The 17,862-nt window shown below is 41.7% G+C and overlaps 1 protein-coding gene and 1 long non-coding RNA gene across 2 annotated transcripts in view; one reads left to right on the forward strand and one right to left on the reverse strand.

Annotated features, from left to right (window-relative positions):
- The window catches only part of LOC100507443 (uncharacterized), a 37,634-nt gene extending 27,553 nt beyond the window's left edge, over window positions 1–10,081 (forward strand). Inside the window, exon 3 of the long non-coding RNA NR_038437.1 lies at window positions 9,866–10,081. This is a non-coding gene — a long non-coding RNA (uncharacterized LOC100507443). The remainder of the gene's footprint in view (window positions 1–9,865) is intronic.
- CRYGA (crystallin gamma A) lies at window positions 14,059–16,908 on the reverse strand. Its single transcript, NM_014617.4, has 3 exons — window positions 16,867–16,908; window positions 16,523–16,765; window positions 14,059–14,395 (listed from the first exon to the last, which is right to left on the reverse strand). The coding sequence occupies exons 1-3, from the start codon at window positions 16,873–16,875 to the stop codon at window positions 14,123–14,125; spliced, it is 525 nt and encodes a 174-aa protein (NP_055432.2). The 5' UTR covers window positions 16,876–16,908; the 3' UTR covers window positions 14,059–14,122.

Raw genomic sequence — 17,862 nt, forward strand, 5'->3', positions numbered from 1 at the left:
ATAATCCCAGGACTTTGGGAGGCTGAGGCAGGTGGATTGCTTGAGCTCAGGAGTTAGAGACCAGCCTAGGTAACATGGTGAGACCCCATCTCTACAACAAATACAAAAATTAGCCCTGCATGGTGGCGCATACCTGTAGTCCCAGCTATTTGGGAGGCTGAGGTGAGAGGATTGCTTAAGCTCAGGAGGTCGAGGTTGCAGTGAGCCATGATTGCACCACTGCACTCCAGCCTGGGCAACAGAGCAAGACCCTGTCGCAAAAAAAAAAAAAAAAAAATTCTGTGATCATCATTGTTGGTGTTTGGGGGCTTGTCTTGAATAAAACTGATACTTGCCTGGAATTTTGTAGGCTTCTGGGGGCTGGGTATTATTTCTTGTTCATGTCTATCCCTGAGCCCTAGAGCAGAGGGTTGGCACATTGCAGGTCCTCAATAATTGGCTCTGACCTGAGCAAAAACAGATAGTTGTGGCTTTCTTCCCCCTTTCAGATCTTCCTAAGGGCCTAAATCCCTCCTTCTGCTGGTGGCTGTCCAGAGTCCTGCCTGCTGTTTGGTGTTCCTGCTCTGCCTCAAATGTTACCACTAAGTGGCTGATTGGTCTTCTCAAGGCATGGGACCAAAAGGGCTCAGAGTTGGTCCCTATTGCTGGCAGATTGGACATTCTACAGTGGAAATAGCTGGATTAGCCTTAATAAGTAGAAGTTAATGCATAGCCTTCATCCATACCACTATGAACGCTCTCTTAGTGAGCTCACTGCCAGCAGTAGGGTGGCTGATGGCAGACGCTGACTGGAATCAAATGACCAAATCATTTTTTCTACTTGGTTGTTTAGTGCCTCTTCAATGGTGGATGCCCTACACTGGGCCTTCACATGGGATACAACTATCTTCGCCCTTTGTGCCCAATCCCATATCTCCCTGCACATTCCTCTACCCCAGACCTTCTTGTCCCTAATCTTCCAATCTTTCTCCTTCCAGGCCCTGGACCAGCCAGCCAAGCCACACATTACTGCTCAATAATTCCATATATGCTTGACCTTGGGCTACTTTTCTTTCTGCACCGAGTGAGCAGCCAGGTGCACTACCTCAAGGTTGCCTTTTGGGAGGATTTCCCTCACTGCTGTCTTTAGGGTGACTCCTGAGTGAGCTATTCTGCAGCAGCATTCTATTTTGGGCTTGTACCCAAATGCCATGCCAATTTATTAGTGTATCAAGCTCAGCCTTCCCCCACTCTATCAGCTGGTCAGAAGGGACCCCTGCAGGCAGTTGTAAGTGTGAGCTGAGAGAGAGCTATTGCAATAATGGTGACTTCATCCCATCCCGCAGGGAAGGCTAGGGCTAGAGTTGTCAGGAACTTAGGCAAGTGGACCGGGAATCTGTGCCTCTGCATTGCCCCGTAATTTGATGTGGGCTGCTGCCATGGAGAAGTGTAACTTTGGGCAAGGCAGCTTCCTCCAGCAGAAGAAAATTCTTGGAGACAAACTCAGCTTTAAGCTGTCAGCATCTGGGAGAAGGAGTGCTTCAGTCCACAGTGGAAGTCCAGGCAGCACCAGAGCGTCCACTACAAGAAGAAAATAAAGCTGAGATAACTGCAGTTAACATTTTGGTGTTTCATCATCCCAGCTTTTTTATATGTCAAACCCATGTGTGGTTGTACAGTGTTATTTATACTGTGTAGCATTCTCTTGTTTTCTTCTAAGTCACCTTTCAAATAAAGTGATTAGTAATACTGATTAAGGTGATCACATTTAGCCTTTTAATACATATATATATATTTTTTTTGTGAAGAGAAACTGAATGAAAAATCGTTCTAGACTCTCTATTGGTTAGCTATACCCATGCTTGAGGTCTAGGCAGTATTCAGGAGAATATCATTCACCCAGTGGACTCACTAAAACAATGTAAACAGTCTTTATGTGCTGAAAGTTCTAACTCTTAAAGAGACTAAATTAACAACCCTGTTTGATGTAAGACCTAACATACTCAGTGTGATGCATAGGTGGGTGTTTGAGGATCATGATGAACTATCATGTAGTGAGCATTGATCTGATTTAAAATTACCCAGATTTTTATCTGCAGGATGATGTTTAAGTGATTGAGGACCCTAGAGTAACTTCCTTTAAGTCATACAAATTCAACCAGTCTCTGGTTCTGATACGTAGAAGAATCAGTAATCCTATGAAAGAAAGATAAACTAAGTATTAGGAACACAAAATCAAAATCTCATTGATTCTAATAGAAGAAATTGAAGGATTAAACATATTTCAGCATCAGTTGTGACTCTTCTTGAAGGGCTCACTTTGACATTTGTCTTCCCCTAGTGGTGAAATTCCTGTTTTCTTTGGAGCCTCAGTAGGAATTTTCTCCCCTACAGTTGGGCATCTCGCAGAAGATTCAGGGTCTTTTATAAGTCTAGGGATTGGGAGAAGATATCCTTGAAAGGAACTAATCATGTATGTGGGAATAGTCTTCAGGGAGCCCCAACATGAGGCCTCCTTACCTGGTACTGGGAGCTGGTCACTTTTGAAAAATAAAAGAGAAGAAAGAAGATGAAAAATAGAAGAAAGAAGAAGAAATTAGTGCATGATCTTGTTATTATGGCTTTATAAGATCTTATATAATGTATAAAAGCCTAACTGAAGATAAAATTTGTTCAGTGCTTAGATTACACAAATCGGAGAGTCTGCCTTTGACTTGGCACGTTAATGAGCATTATAATTCAGGCACATTAATGAGCATTATAATTCAAAGAGCAGAATTACCTGTAATTAACCTGGGTTTTCACCATAGTTTGTACAAGGAGATAGCTACTTTCTCCCTACTTCTCACGAGACTGGTGGCTTCCTCTTCTGGCAGGGGGCAGGGCCCCTAATATCCTATGGGCCCCAAAGATCCCATTTGTCCCAAAGTTTCTAGGTGCAGGGAAGCTGGTGTTCCCAGAGAGCTGTAAATAGCTGATACTGTCAATCCAGGCAGCTTGTGTATTTCTCCCACTGACTTATGCTACACTCCAAAAAGGGAAATCTGTAGGGGGCAGGGGTCCCTCTATTGGAACAGAACCTACACAGTATCCAGTAGATACCCAGGCCCTAGCATGACTCTCCATAGCCAGATAAACAGTATGGAGTGCTTATAGGCTGGCTCAGGCCCATTCCTTAACCTATCTCATGTGACATTGAAGAATTTGTTCCAACCTCTTGCACAACTAGTGACAGCCCTAAACAAGCCTTGAGGCAAATTGTTATATTGAGACTATTGGGGAATCAAATTAAATACTTAGAAAGAAAATATTGGTTCAAGAGGTTGGTGAAAGAGCTTCATCTGCTGTTTCCAAAGTCATGGGAATGTCTGGGCCTTGAATTCAAGTCCTCTCAGTTGCATAGTCAGCTTCTGCTATTGGAGTATCAGGCACCTAGGCTGGTTAGAGTTGTAGGAGGGGAGAGTGATAGTTTCAGGGCCTGCACCATTGCTTGGTGGAGAAACCAACACTTGAAAACAATACCACCTATGACAACCTATCCTGCTTGTCCCATGGTCTGGATTTCACACTGCTTCCTCTAAAAAAATTTTGTTTTTCATCACAATACTAACAACCACTGGGAAATTGTTGACTAGGCACTATTTGTGGAGAATACACTCAGGGGAGCAATAGCTACACACATCTACTAACTTTTACAGTTTCTGTAACTGCTTGTGAAAAGTCATTTAACTTCCCTAAGCCTCAGTTTCCCCATTTATTAAATAGGAATAACAATGAAAACCAGATGAGACAATGGATTTGAAAGCATATGACAAATTGTAAAATATTGCCAATGATTTAGAAAATAGTGTCATATATATTGTTAAAGAAAAAATTATCACACTTGTTAAAGTGGTAAGGAAGACTGTTCAGAGAGGGCCATGGTGATAGGAATAGGGATCATTGCAATGGGGTTTTGCAGTGGGGAAGAGAGATTGTACTCAACTCTGACTCCAAAAAGGATGAATGGGGATTTACAACCTAGGAGTGGGGTCAGGGGCAGTGGATGGAAAATTACTAAGAGGAAACACCAAGGATAAGAGGTTTCTGGCTAAACTGACTTGGTAGAGTTATCGCGGAAGGATGACCAAGGTGTTCAGATACCAAGGGTGGGAGATATTCACTAAAGTGACTCAGGAGGATTCTTGATCAAACTGGATTCTATAAGGACAAAAAGGGAAGCCCGAGGTTGGACCTAGTAAAACAAAAGACTCAGAGAAGACTGACTATAATTTTGGTAAAAGGGGAGAGTGTATTAGTTTGTTCTCACACTGCTATACAGAATTACCTGAGACTGGGTAATTTATGAAGAAAAGAGGTTTAATTGACTCACACTTCCACAGACTGTACAGGAAGCATGGCTAGTAGGTCTCAGGAAACTTACAACCATGGCGGAAGGCAAAGGGGAAGCAAGCACATCTTACCATTGTGGAGCAAGAGAGAGAGTGAAGGGGGAAGTGCCATACACTTTCAAATAACCAGATCTCACTCATTATCCCAAGAACAGTAAGGGGGAAGTTCAACCCCATGATTCCATCACTTCCTACCAGGCCCTTCCCCTGACACATGGGGATTACAATTTGAGATGAGATTTGGATGGGGACACAGAGCCAAACCATATCAGTCTTTGTCAATATTTTAATAAATGCTAAAGATGATAAGATTAATAGCCTTGGTACACCAATTAATAATATGTTTCTAGAATTGAAAGCAAAAATCATATGATCATCTCAATACAGGCAGAAAAAGCTTTTGACAAAATCCAACATCCCTTCATGATAAAAACTCTCAACAGACTGGGCATCAAAGGAACATATGTCAAAATAATAAAAGCTATCTATGACAAACCCATAGCCAATATCATACTGAATGGGCAAAAGCTGGAACTATTCCCCTTGAGAACTGAAACAAGACAAGGATGCTCTCTCTTGCCACTCCTATTCAACATAGTATTGGAAGTCCTAACCAAAGCAATCAGGCAAGATAAAGAAATAAAAGGCATCTGTATTAGTCTGTTCTCATGCTGCTAATAAAGACATACCTGAGCCTGAGTAATTTATAAAGGAAAGACGTTCCTTTATAAAGCCACAGTTCCATATGGCTGGGGAGGCTTCACAATGATGGCTGAAGGCAAATAAGGAGCAAAGTCACATCTTACAGGGCGGCAAGCAAGAGAGAGCTTGTGCAGGGGAACTCCCATTTATAAAACCATCAGATCTCATGAGACTTATTCACTACTATGAGAGCAGTATGGCACAAACTGGCCCCATGATTCAATTATCTCTACCTGGCCCCACCCTTGACACATGGGGATTATTACAACTCAAGGTGAGATTTGAGTGGGGATGCAGCCAAACGATATTAGCATCCAATTAGGAAAAGAAGTCAAACTATTTCTCTTCACTGATGATACAATTCTATACTTACCAAACCCTGAAGACTCCTCCAAAGGCTACTAGAATTGATGCATGATTTCAGCAGGGTTTCAGGATAGAAAATCAATATACAAAAAACAGTAGCATTTCTGTACACCAATAATGTCCAGGCTGAGAGTAAAATCAAGAACATGACCCCATTTACAATAGCCACAAAGAAAATGAAATACCTGTGAATACAGCTAACCAAGGAGGTAAAATATCTTTATAAGGGAAACTACAAAACACTACTGAAAGAAATCAGAGATGACACAAATAAATGGAAAAATATTCTATGATCATGGATTAGAAGAAACAATATTGTTAAAATGGCCATACTGCCCAAAACAATTTACAGATTCAATGCTATTCCTATCAAGCTACCAATGTCATTCTTTACAGAATTAGAAAAAAAGTATTCTAAAATTCATATGGAACCAAAAAAAAAAAAAAAGCCCAAATAGCCAAAGCAATCCTAAGCAAAAAGAACAAAGCCAGAAGCATCACACTACTCAATTTCAAACCATATATACTATTAGGCTACAGTAACCAAAATATCATGGTACAGGTAGGAAAACAGACACATAGACCAGTGGAACAGTACAAAAAACTCAGAAATAAAGTTGCACACCTACAATCATCTGATCTCCAACAAGACTGACAAAAACAAGCAATGGGAAAAGCACTCCCTAGTCAACAAATGGTTCTAGGATAACTGGCTAGCCATATGCAGAAGATTGAAACTGGACCCTTACCTTTTACCATATAAAAAAGTAACTCAAGAAGGATTAAAGATTTAAATGTAAGACCCCAAAATATAAAATTCTAGAAGAAAATCTAGGAAATACCTTTTTCAACATTGGCTTTGGCAAAGAATTTTGGCTAAGTCCCCAAAAGCAATTGCAACAAAAACAAATATTGACAAGTGGGACCTAATTAAACTAAAGAGCTTCTGCACAGCAAAAGCAACTATTAACAAAGTAAACAGAAAACCTACAGAATGGGAGAAATTATTTGCAAATTATGCATCTGACAAATGTCTAATATCCACAATCTATAAGGAACTTAAACAGTTCAACAAGCAGAAAAAAAAATAATCCCATTAAAAAATGGGCAAAGGACATGAACAGACATTTCTCAAAAGAAGACATACAAGTGTCCAACAAATGCTCATTACTACTCTTCAGAAAAATGCAAATCAAAACCACAGTGAGATACAATCTCACACTAGTCAGAATGGCTCTTATCAAAAAGCCAAGAAACAACAGATGCTGGTAAGGCTGTGGAGAAAAGGGAACACTTATATACTGTTGGTGGGATGTAAACTAGCTCAGCCACTGTGGAAAGCAGTTTAGACACTTCTCAAGGAACCTAAAACAGAGCTACCATTCAACCCAGCAATCCCATTACTGGGTATGTTCCCAAAGGAAAATAGACCATCATACCAAAAAGACACACTTGCACAGTCATATGTTCATCACCTTGCTATTCATGATAGCAAAGACATGGAATCAACCTAGGTGCCCATAAATGGTGTATTGGATAAAATATGTGGTACATATACACTATGCAATACTACACAGCCATAAAAAGAATAAAATTCTTTCCATTGCAGCAACATGGATGGGACTGGAGGCCATAATCTCAAGGGAACAGAAAACCATATCCCACATGCTCTTACTTATAAGTGGGAGCTAAACCTTGAGCACACATGGACATAAACATGGGAACAATAGACACTGTGGACTACTAGAGGGGGTAGGGAGGAAGGGGTGCGTGGACTGAAAAACCACCTGTTGGGTATTATGCTCACTACCTGGGTGCAATATACCTATGTAACAAAGCTGTACATATACCCCCTGTATCTAAAATAAAAGTTGAAATTTTAAAAAAATTTTTAAAATATATGTTTCTGTGCATTTTTTTTTTTTTTTTAAGTAGAGACAGTGTCTCTCTGTGTTGGGCTGGGATCAAACTCCTGGCCTTAAGTGACTTACCTGCCTCGGCCTCCCAAAGTGCTAGTATTATAGGCGTGAGCCACTATGGCTGGCCTGTTTCTGGGCTCTGTCATACTGCCTACACTTTTGTTTATGGTATAGAGACTAAATGTGATCAATGGATAATTTTATTTTTTTTTCTTTTGAGAGAGGGTCTCACTCTGTTGTCCATGCTGGAGTGCAGTGGCACAATCAAAGCTCAGCCTTGACCTCCTGAGCTCAAACGGTCCTTCCATCTAGCCTCCCGAGTACCTGGGAATACAGGCATGCACCACCACCACACCCAGCTAATTTTTATTTTTATTTTTTGTTGAGATGGGGTTTTACCATTTGCCTAGGCTGATCTCAAACTCCTGGGTCTCGCCCTCCTTGGCCTCCCAAAGTGTCGAGATTACAGCTGTGAGTCACAACTCCTGGCCGGATAATTTCGTATATTGGAACACTTTTGTTTAATTTAGCAAAGAACTGCTGTTTGGTAATTTTGATATCACAGTCAATGATGACTATGAGGAAGAGTAACCTAAGTGGGGACTGTGCAGTCTGAGCAGATGGAGTTGTTGATGTGCTGGTGGTTGATGTATCCGCTCCAGCAGAGCATCCAGCCCTTGCTGTCCACCTGTATACACCAGGTTGCCGCAGCTGAAGCAGGACTGCAGATCACAGTGGTCACTGTTGCACTCACAGTGGTCATTTGCAATGGAATATGCCAATAGCAGGGAAATCCTCCCCAGAATATGTTACCATGAGTTCATGACAAGCCCCTGTTCTAAACTCATCTCACTGTGGCCAGAGGACTGAGGATGCAAAAGCCAGGGTTGTTCATCAGCTGTAACAGAGACTTGGGAGAGAGAGAGAGAGAGAGACAGAGAGAGAGAGAGCTTGAGCATATTTTAACTTTTATCCTTCATTGTGTTATAGCTGTGTATCCTTTCTATAATAGCGCTTTGGAGGTCTTTGAAGCATTGGAAAAGGAAGGTCAATATATAAAGAAGAAGTTAGAAAAAAATGTCCTCATCCTCACTGTTTTATTGAATTCTTATGGTTAAGTACAGAAGCAGTGAGAGTAGACAAAATTCACTCTGGAAACTGTGGGTATATCGATTTAAATTTTGGCAGCCAAGAAGGGCAAACCAGGGAGAACGTTTTTCTTATTTTGCCTTCTAGATTCAGAGTGTCCATGAAAATTTGGGCCTACGGATGGGAGTTGTTCCCTAAGCCTAGAACACCTTCCCTTCCCCTAAAGCTTGCCAGATCCTGCCCAATATTCAAGGCCGTCCAGGGTCCTCTTCTTAGGAAATCGCTTCTCAGATCCAGCCCTTACTCCTCTCTCCCTTCTCTGAACATCAACATCACCTCATTATTGCTCAGCTTCTTTTAAATATTGTCTTCCTCATGCAGTTTCTCCTTTTCCAGGTTTATTCTCTTCAAAAGGTTTTTAAGCTCAAGGATAAGGATCATGCCACACTTCTCTATTCCCGATAATGACTTATTAATTAATTGGACAGATAAATAGAGCCCTGGTGATTCCTATTCTATTCTGGAAAACAATTACTCTCTCATATGAGGTCACCCCATGTCAAGTTCAAAGACACAGAAGCCACATGTGTTCAGATATAGGCTTTCTCCTGCTCACTCCTCTACCACATCCACTGCTTCTGATACCCTCCCTTCAGTTCTTTCCAGTCTCTGGTGACCTGGGAAGCCTGAAGGTAAATAAAAATGACACAGAAGCCTGGCTAGCTGGTGTAGATAGATCATGGGGCGACGTCCCTGGGAGGTGGAAGGAGGTACCTTGGATGGGTAAGCACACAACCAGGGCCGTCAGAGTAAGGCCTCAGAACTTACCTCGCATGGCTAATGTAGAGGGACAGGAGAGGTGGGCTGACCAAGAGTGTGAAAATGAAAAAGAAAAGGTGATAAGCAGCATTTTTGTGAAGGGAAATGATGAAAGAGATTCCCAGCCACTTCCTTGTATTTTGGAAGATGGATGGGTCCATGGAAAGAGACATTGGGTCTTGAATGCAGCAAAATGTGCTTTGTTGGCTGATAATATCTCTTTGTGTCATCAGAATGGGGAGTGAAGACAATGCCGGAGCCTTTTATCCGAGGATTTGAATACTGAGTTTAACTCTAAAGTTATACACAAGCTTTTTTCCTTTAAAAATAAGTGCAAAACTTTTCCTTAAAAAATACAGGCCTTATTTAAATCAGAAAAATTCACCCATTTAAGGTCCTCTAGAATGGTTAATACAAGCTTGTATATCAAAATATTTGAATGGATCTAACAAAACCCTGACTTTTTCCAAAAACAGTCATTCATTTAGAAGCCATTAAAGTTAACTGAGGTCTTTTAGAGGCCTCAGTGGGAAACTTCATTACCCTCTCTCCCCTCCCCACACACAAATATTATAGCTTATAATCTGATTTTTCCTGTAGCTTTTGCAGACTTCTTTTCCTGGCTCTCTGATAACCAGCTACATGTCTTCCACATGAAGCCTCCTGAGTTCATCAGTACATCATTGCATCATTGACATGACCCTGCTGAACTATGCCACGTCTGCCTTTGCTTAAGTGGGTAGGACTGAACCTGCAGCAAACTTTGGAGCACTCATTTGGGTCACAATGATAAAAATAATAATACTTAATAATAGCCTACTGTGTCATGAGTGTCTAGTATGTTCCAGACGTTGTACCAGGAATCTTATACAAGCTGCAACATGTAGCCAACTCAGTCCAATTAACACCAGGACTACCCCTAATATTTGAAAGATATTATGCCTAGAGCATAAATAGAGCCCCTCCCTACTCCATGAAGTACCCTCCTTTCTCCTCACTCTCTCACATGTCCAAGTTCTATCCATATGACCCCTCCTCAAACAGCAGCCTGTGGCTATCAGCGTGCCCGGGAGGATAGGTCTGGGGAAGACTCCCTCTTAAGTCTTGGAAGTGATCCTGGGTCTAAGTGGAGGGAATTTTGAAGATCCAGGTATAAAGAGTGTGGTCTAGAAGGAGAGGTGTGGGGATGTCCCATGGCCCCACAAATTCCTGCCCCACTGGGAAGAGTTCAGCTACAGGAAACCAGAGGGAAGTTCTCTGAAGCACCCAGTCCAGTCTGGGGGTCCTGGTCCACCAACGCTAATCACAGTACTGATCACTAGGGAGAAAAGAATCCGAAAGTTACACATAGCTAGTGAGTGAAAGAACTGGGAATAGAACTCAAGTCCATCTACCTCAAGGCCTAAGCTAATTGTCTCTTCATACACTGATGGTTTGTTTTAGATGTTATCTCTTCAGGTGTGCATATCTTATATCTTCTCTAAATTATACACTTGTCATAGTAGTTCCTTTGTCATGCTTTTTTTTTTTGAATTTCCACAAAGTCTGCACCCAAATAACCTGTTCAATCCCTATGAATTCTGTGCATCTTGGGCTTTAACAGGAATTCCAATATATTCTAGTGGATTGGCCAATTTATTAATTGGTGGAAGGCTGATTTCTTTTCTCTTCCTTTTCTTTTGTTTTTTGTTTTGTTTTATTTTGTTTTTTGAGACAGGGTCTTGCTCTGTCATTCAGGCTAGAGTATAGTGGCATGACCACAGCTCACTGCAACCTCTACTTCCTGGGCTCAAGCGGTCCTCCCACCACAGCCTCCTGTGTAGCTGGGACTACAGGTGTGTGCCACCACACTCGACTAATTTTTTGTATTTTTTGTTAGAGACAGGGTTTTGCCATGTTCCCCAGGCTGGTCTCAAATTCCTGGGCTCAAGCAATCTACCAGCCTCAGGCTCCCAAAGTGTTAGGATTACAGGCATCAGCCACTGCATCTGGCCCTGAGTTAATTTTTATGTATGGTGTGAGATTGGGGTCCAGCTTCATTTTGCATGTGGATATCCAGTAGTCCCAGCACTGTTTATTAAAAAGATTATTTATTCCCTATTGAATGGTCTTAGCATCTTTGTCAAAGATCAGTTGATAAATCTCCACCCAGGGGTATGTAAAATAAAAAAAAAATCAGTTGAACATAGACATATAGGTTTACTTCTAAATTTGCAATTCTATTCTGTCTATATGTCTGTCCTTATGCTAGCACCCCACTATTGTGATTACCATTGTTTTGTGGTAAATTTTGAAATTCGGAAGTGTGAATGTTCCTGCTTTTTGTTCTTTCTCAAGGCTGTTTTGGCTATTCTGGGTCCCTTGCAACTCCATATGGATTTTAAAATCAGCTTATCAATTTTTACAAAAAAGTCAACTGGGACAGAGCATTATTTTTGCTTATATAAATTTGGGAAAAAAACTAACATTCCGGAATTGCAGCTCAATATTTTTTATTTGAGATAAAATTTACATACCATACAAATCACCAATTAAAAGTGTACAATTTAGTGGCTATTTGTGTATTTACAGAGTTGTTCAACCAATGCCAGAATCAATTTCAGAACATTATCATCACCCCCCAAAAAAAATCCTTTACCCGTTAGCAGTCATTCCCTATTTCTCCCCAGTTACCGCTCCCTTTTTCCACCCTAGCGCTAGGCAACCACTAATCTTCATTGTCTATTTGCTTATTTTGGAAATTTCATAAAAATGGAATTTTAAAACATGCAATCTCCAATGGGTTTTTTTCAGATAGCATGTTTCAAAAGTTCACCATATTGTAACATGAGTTGATACTTAATCCCTTTTTTTTTTTTTGAAACAGAGTCTCACACTGTCTCCTAGGCTGGAGTGCAGTGGCACGATCTTGGCTCACTGCCACCTCCACCTCCCAGGTTCAAGCAACTCTCCTGCCTCAGCTTCCCGAGTAGCTGGGATTACAGGCGCCCGCCACTACGCCCGGCTAATTTTTTGTATTTTTAGTAGAGACGGGGTTTCACCATGTTGGCCATGGCTGGTCTTGAACTCCTGACCTCATGATTCCCCCTCCTCAGCCTCTCAAAGTGTTGGGATTACAGGCATGAGCCACCGCACCGACAGATACTTAATTCCCCCTTTTTTTTTTTTTTTTTTTTTTTTTTGAGATGGAGTCTCGCTCTGTCGCCCAGGCTGGAGTGCAGTGGTGCAATCTTGGCTCACTGCAAGCTCCGCCTCCCGGGTTCAAGCAACTCTCCTGCCTCAGCCTCCTGAGTAGCTGGGACTACAGGCACCCACCACCACGCTCGGCTAATTTTTTTGTATTTTTAGTAGAGACAGGGTTTCACCGTCTTACCCAGGATGGTCTCGATCTTCTGACCTTGCGATCCGCCTGCCTTGGTCTCCCAAAGTGCTGGGATTACAGGCACAAGCCACTGCGCCCAGCTATGTTTAACCTTCTGAGGAACTGCCAGACTATTTTCCAAAGCAGCACATCATTTTACTTTGTTTTTTGTTACATTTTTTCCCACCAACAATGTATGGGACTTTCAATTTTCTCACATCCTCACCAACACATTATTAGCTTTCTTTTTGATTATGGCCATCCTAGTAAATGTGAAGTAGTATCTCATCTTGCTTTTTGTTTCATAAAGAACTCCACTAACGTAAAATTCATATACAAAGAACGTGCAGCTCTATTATAGTGGAAAAAAATCACAGAGATATGTAGGATAGCAAACATTAATCACTCACTCTGCATATAGTTGAGTCCTTTATTTTTATTTTTATTATTATTATTTTTTTAAAAGAGACACGGTCTCACGTTGTCGCCCAGGCTGGTAGTGTTGATCTCCTGGGCTAAAGCAATCCATCCACTGTGGCCTCCCAAAATGCTGGGATTATAGGCGTGAGCCACTGTGCCCAGCCAGAGTCTTCAGTAATTTAGTCTTGATAAAAATTCATATTGGAGTCCAACAGAAGGTGACCACATTGTGATACTGAATTTTAGAAGACACTGTGGATATATTAAATTCTTACATTTGTATAATAATTTAAAGGTAACAAAATTTGCTCACAATCTTTTCCCATCATTTCATTGTGATTATCCTGGGATTTAGTGAAGCAAGAATTTATTATTACTTACAGTTTTCAGTAAGGTAATTTAGGCACAGAGATGGTACAAAGTGACGTGCTCAAAGAGATAAGCTAGGAAGTGGGGTAACCAACCATTTGGGTTCACCTGACACTGAGGGGCTTTCTGGGATAGAAGACTTCAAGTGCTAAAATTGGGAGAGTCCCTGGAAAATTGGGCTGGGTTGGTTACTCTACTAGTAAGTAGCAGAGGTAGGCTGTTTAACTCTTGGTTTAACACTTTTGCTACCAGATTGCCTAGTGAAGCAGGCTTGCCCTTCTCCACGTGGAAGTTCTCTTTAGAGCTCCTCTCTTCAGCTGGGCGCAGTGGCTCACGCCTGTAATCCCAGCACTTTGGGAGGCCGAGGCGGGCGGATCACCTGAGGTCGGGAGTTTGAGACCAGCCCGACCAACACGGTGAAACCCCGTCTCTACTAAAACTACAAACTTAGCCGGGTGTGGTGGTGCATGCCTGTAATCCCAGTTACTTGGGAGGCTGAGGCAGGAGGATTGATTGAACCTGGGAGGCGGAGGTTGCAGTGAGCCGAGATAGCGCCATTGCACTCTGGCCTGGTGACAGAGCAAGACTCCATAACAAAACAAATTATAAAATAAATAAATAAAGATAAACAAGAGCCACTTAGTGCAGGGAACACAACTTGTATATTTATTATGTTTCTATGGGGATCACAACAAGGCAGGCACAGCTTAGTACAAATCGGTGACCCGTCTCAAAGAGCCGACTTTGGCATCTGCACCCCCCCAGTCGTGGTACCTTCTGTAGTCCCCAGGCCTCAGCAGATACTGCCGCCCCCGGTAGTTGGGCATTTCATAGAGGACCCAGCAGCCCTCCAGTACGTGGAGGGAATAGATCTCAGGGAGACGGAACAGTTCTGGAACACAGGCGCAGTCATCAGTGAGCTCAGACATAAGGCCTCGGTAGTCATCTCTCTCGTACAGCCTTAACTTGTGCGAGCTGGTCTGTCATGGCAATAAACAAAAGAACAAAAATAAACAGCATGCATCCTTGGGTGTCAACGAAAGTGACACAATCAGTCTGCATCTTCATGAAGCATGGCTTTTATTTTATTTTTGAGATAAAGGTCTTGCTGTGTTGCCCAGGCTGGAGTACAGTGGCAGGATCACTGCTCACTGCAACTTTCACCTCCTGGGCTTAAGTAATCCTCCCACCTCAGCCCCCCAAGTAGCTGGGATCACAGGTGTGCACTGTGACACCCGGCTAATTTATTTTTAAAAATTTTTTTGTAGAGAGGGAGTCTCACTATATTGCCCAGGCTGGTCTTGAATCCCTGGGTTCAAGTGATTCTCTCACCTTGGCCTCCCAAAATGTTGGGATTACAAATGTTGGGATTGCACCTGGTTTGAAACATGGTTTTTTAAACCAGTTGATAAAGTGTTTCTCCCCTGAACCCACTTTCAATGTTGTTATTCTAACAAATTAGGGAAAATATTAAAACGAATCTGACCTGATCAATGAACTGGAGATGTTGTGGAAGAAACAAACATTAAAATACAGGGAATAAAAGTGTGTTCTTTGTAAGCAATCATCAATACAATTGTAGTCAGTGAGTCTGTAGTGAGGATTTCAACTCTCATTTCCATTTTGACTCCATATAATTGAGTCTTATCAAGCTTGTTTTTGAGTCACTTTTTGCACTTATAATTTACAGTGATTTATATTTACACTGAGTCCACATGTATTTTCAAGTGACATTTTGCCAAGTCACTTGTGCCATTTGGGTTTCTTGCCCCAGAGAAATGCCTATTTTATTTATACCTCTTTGCGCATCTGCAAATTTTTCTGGCCTAAATTTGTTTTTTTATTTTTTTATTTTTTTTTAGACGAAGTCTCGCTCTGTCACCAGGCTGGAGTGCAGTGGCATGATCTCGGCTCACTGCAACCTCCGACTCCTGGGTTCAAGCAATTCTCCTGTCTTAGCCTCCTGCTTAGCTAGGACTACAGGCATGCACCACCATGCCTGGCTAATGTTTTGTATTTTGGTAGAGACAGGGTTTCACCATGTTGGCCAAGCTGGTCTTGAACTCCTGACCTCAAGTGATCTGCCCAGCTCAGCCTCCCAAAGTGCTAGGATTACGGGCGTGAGCCACTGAGCCTGGCCGTGATTTCAATTCTTGAATCTCCTTGTCACACTACATAATTTGGTGCCAACAGAAAGTGTAAATACATGCTGCACGTGATTAAAAAAGATTAAGCAGCATTTTGATGAGGACCATGTTCTATGAAATCCTAATCAATTGTGTGTCTCTGATATTTATAAGAAACTAGTTGATAATGACTCCTGGAAATTATAAATCCACACAAGTTGAAACATATTTTCCTAGGTTCTAGTAAGTCCTAGAATGTAGTGAAAAAAATTTCCAATGCAGTCAGAATACATTATACCTATATTGTTATCTCATAGTCTGTTAACTTTTCATCATTAAAAAATAATTATCATGGCCGGGCGCAGTGGCTCATTCCTATAATCCTAGCACTTTGGGAGGCCGAGGTCGGGAGTTCGAGACCAGCCTGACCAACATGGAGAAACTCTGTCTCTACTAAAAATACAAAATTAGCTGGGCATGGTGGCACATGCCTGTAATCCCAGCTACAAGGGAGGCTGAGGCGGGAGAATCGCTTGAACCTGGGAGGCAGGGGTTGTGGTGAGCTGAGATTGTGCCATTGCACTCCAGCCTAGGCAACAAGAGCGAAAGCGAAGTTCTGTCTCAAAAAAAAAAATTATCTAGATAAACTAGATAGACTTTTCTTTTTTTTCTTTCTTTCTTTTTTTTTTTTTTTACTACTGAATAAGGTGACTTTTATGTAGAAATTAGGGATCACCTAGATGTTACCAAGTTTAATTTAAAGGCTATGTTGTGATTTCCCATGCCCTAAAATGATGTCCTTAAGTAAGAAAAATAGAGATTATTGTTACTTTTTTTTTTTATATATGTTTGAGGGTCAGGCCTTGCTATTCTTACTGTGAACACTCATCCTGTGTTGGAACAAACTGACTTTTATAAACAGGAATTGATGGCCATGGATCATTGATGCTTTCACATCAGTCAAGTTGAAGCAAGACTCACATGAGGAATTATACGGCAGGATTGGACCGAGTCGCTGAGGCCCATCCAGTGCTGATAGTCGGGGTACTTGCCTCGGCGCAGGAAGTACTGGTGGCCCTGGTAATTGGGACGCTCATAGAGCATCCAGCAGCCGCTGTCTACTCGGATGGAGTTGCAGCGGCTGAAGTAGACCCGCAGGTTGGGGCAGTCACTGATGCAATTGTAGCAGCGACCCTGAAAGTCTCGGTCCTCGTAGAAGGTGATCTGAGGTAGAAATAAGGTGACAGTAGACAGTCAGCTGGAAGGAACATCCCCACACACCACAGACCCCCAATAGACATGGCACAGCACCTCCACAGGCTCACCTTCCCCATGGTTGTTGACAGAGGGTGATTAGCATCTAGTATGATAGGGACAAAGGGGCAACTGGTATATATAGCAGGGAAGCTGCTGTGTTGGCAAAAACAACACAAAAGGGACCTGGGGGTGGTGCGTAGGGGGATTTCTGTATTCTCTTTTTTTTTTCATTTGAGATCATGGGGCAGTGGGCTCTCTCTCTTTCTGGCATTTTCGAGTTGTCCTCACTAGCTCCAGTGAAAGGTATTAAAGTCAGCAGAGCCATTATGACCTTGGAGACAAAGGGCACACTTCTCATCCTATGCAGCTCACTAGAAATGCATTACATGCCCAGCATTCTGCAATGTTTGCCTATGGAAACTGCTGAGATGGAGGTTGGTGGTTCCATCTGAGGTCACTTATGAGAACACATGCGTTCCAGAAGGACTTGAAGTGTGAAGAGGCAACAAAAAAAATCCCAGACAGAAAATCCTCTAATTGAAAGACAATTATATTTCTTAAGTGACTTCATCAGTATGATAGGGTTTTGATAAAAATATTTTGCCTATATTTATGTAGGGAAAACATAAGATTAGAAGTGTGTACTATACCAACATATCAATCATGGTAATCAATGAATGGCAAGATTATAGATCTTAGCTTTATGTTGTTATATTTTGTTTTTTGCTGCTGTTTTCTTAATTTTCTATTATATCTGCCATCTTCAGCCAGACAGAAAAAAAAATTCGATTATAAATATAACAATTTCATGAGATGAAAAAATAATAAAATCAATCTTTAAATGTATGACTTTGAGGTGCTGGTGAAAAGCAGTAAATACTGGAAGCAGGTATATTTAATCAAGAGATTAAACACTTCTTGAGCTAAAAATAAAAAGAAACCCTGAGAATCTGTGAGAGGCTCGAAGAGCAGAAAAATACACAGGAACATTTCACTCCCCTCCCCCTGCCACCCTCCTTCTAGCATTGCTTTTATTTTTTAAAATTAGCGTGATGATTTGCCTG

The sequence above is a fragment of the Homo sapiens genome, chromosome 2, assembly GCF_000001405.40.
Source record: "Homo sapiens chromosome 2, GRCh38.p14 Primary Assembly".
Taxonomy (NCBI): Eukaryota; Metazoa; Chordata; class Mammalia; order Primates; family Hominidae; genus Homo; species Homo sapiens.

Coding starts and splice junctions, on each gene's coding strand:
- CRYGA (NM_014617.4), bottom strand. Junction 14,396..16,522: donor CCTGCCGTATAATTCCTCAT/GTGAGTCTTGCT, acceptor TTGCCATGACAG/ACCAGCTCGCACAAGTTAAG.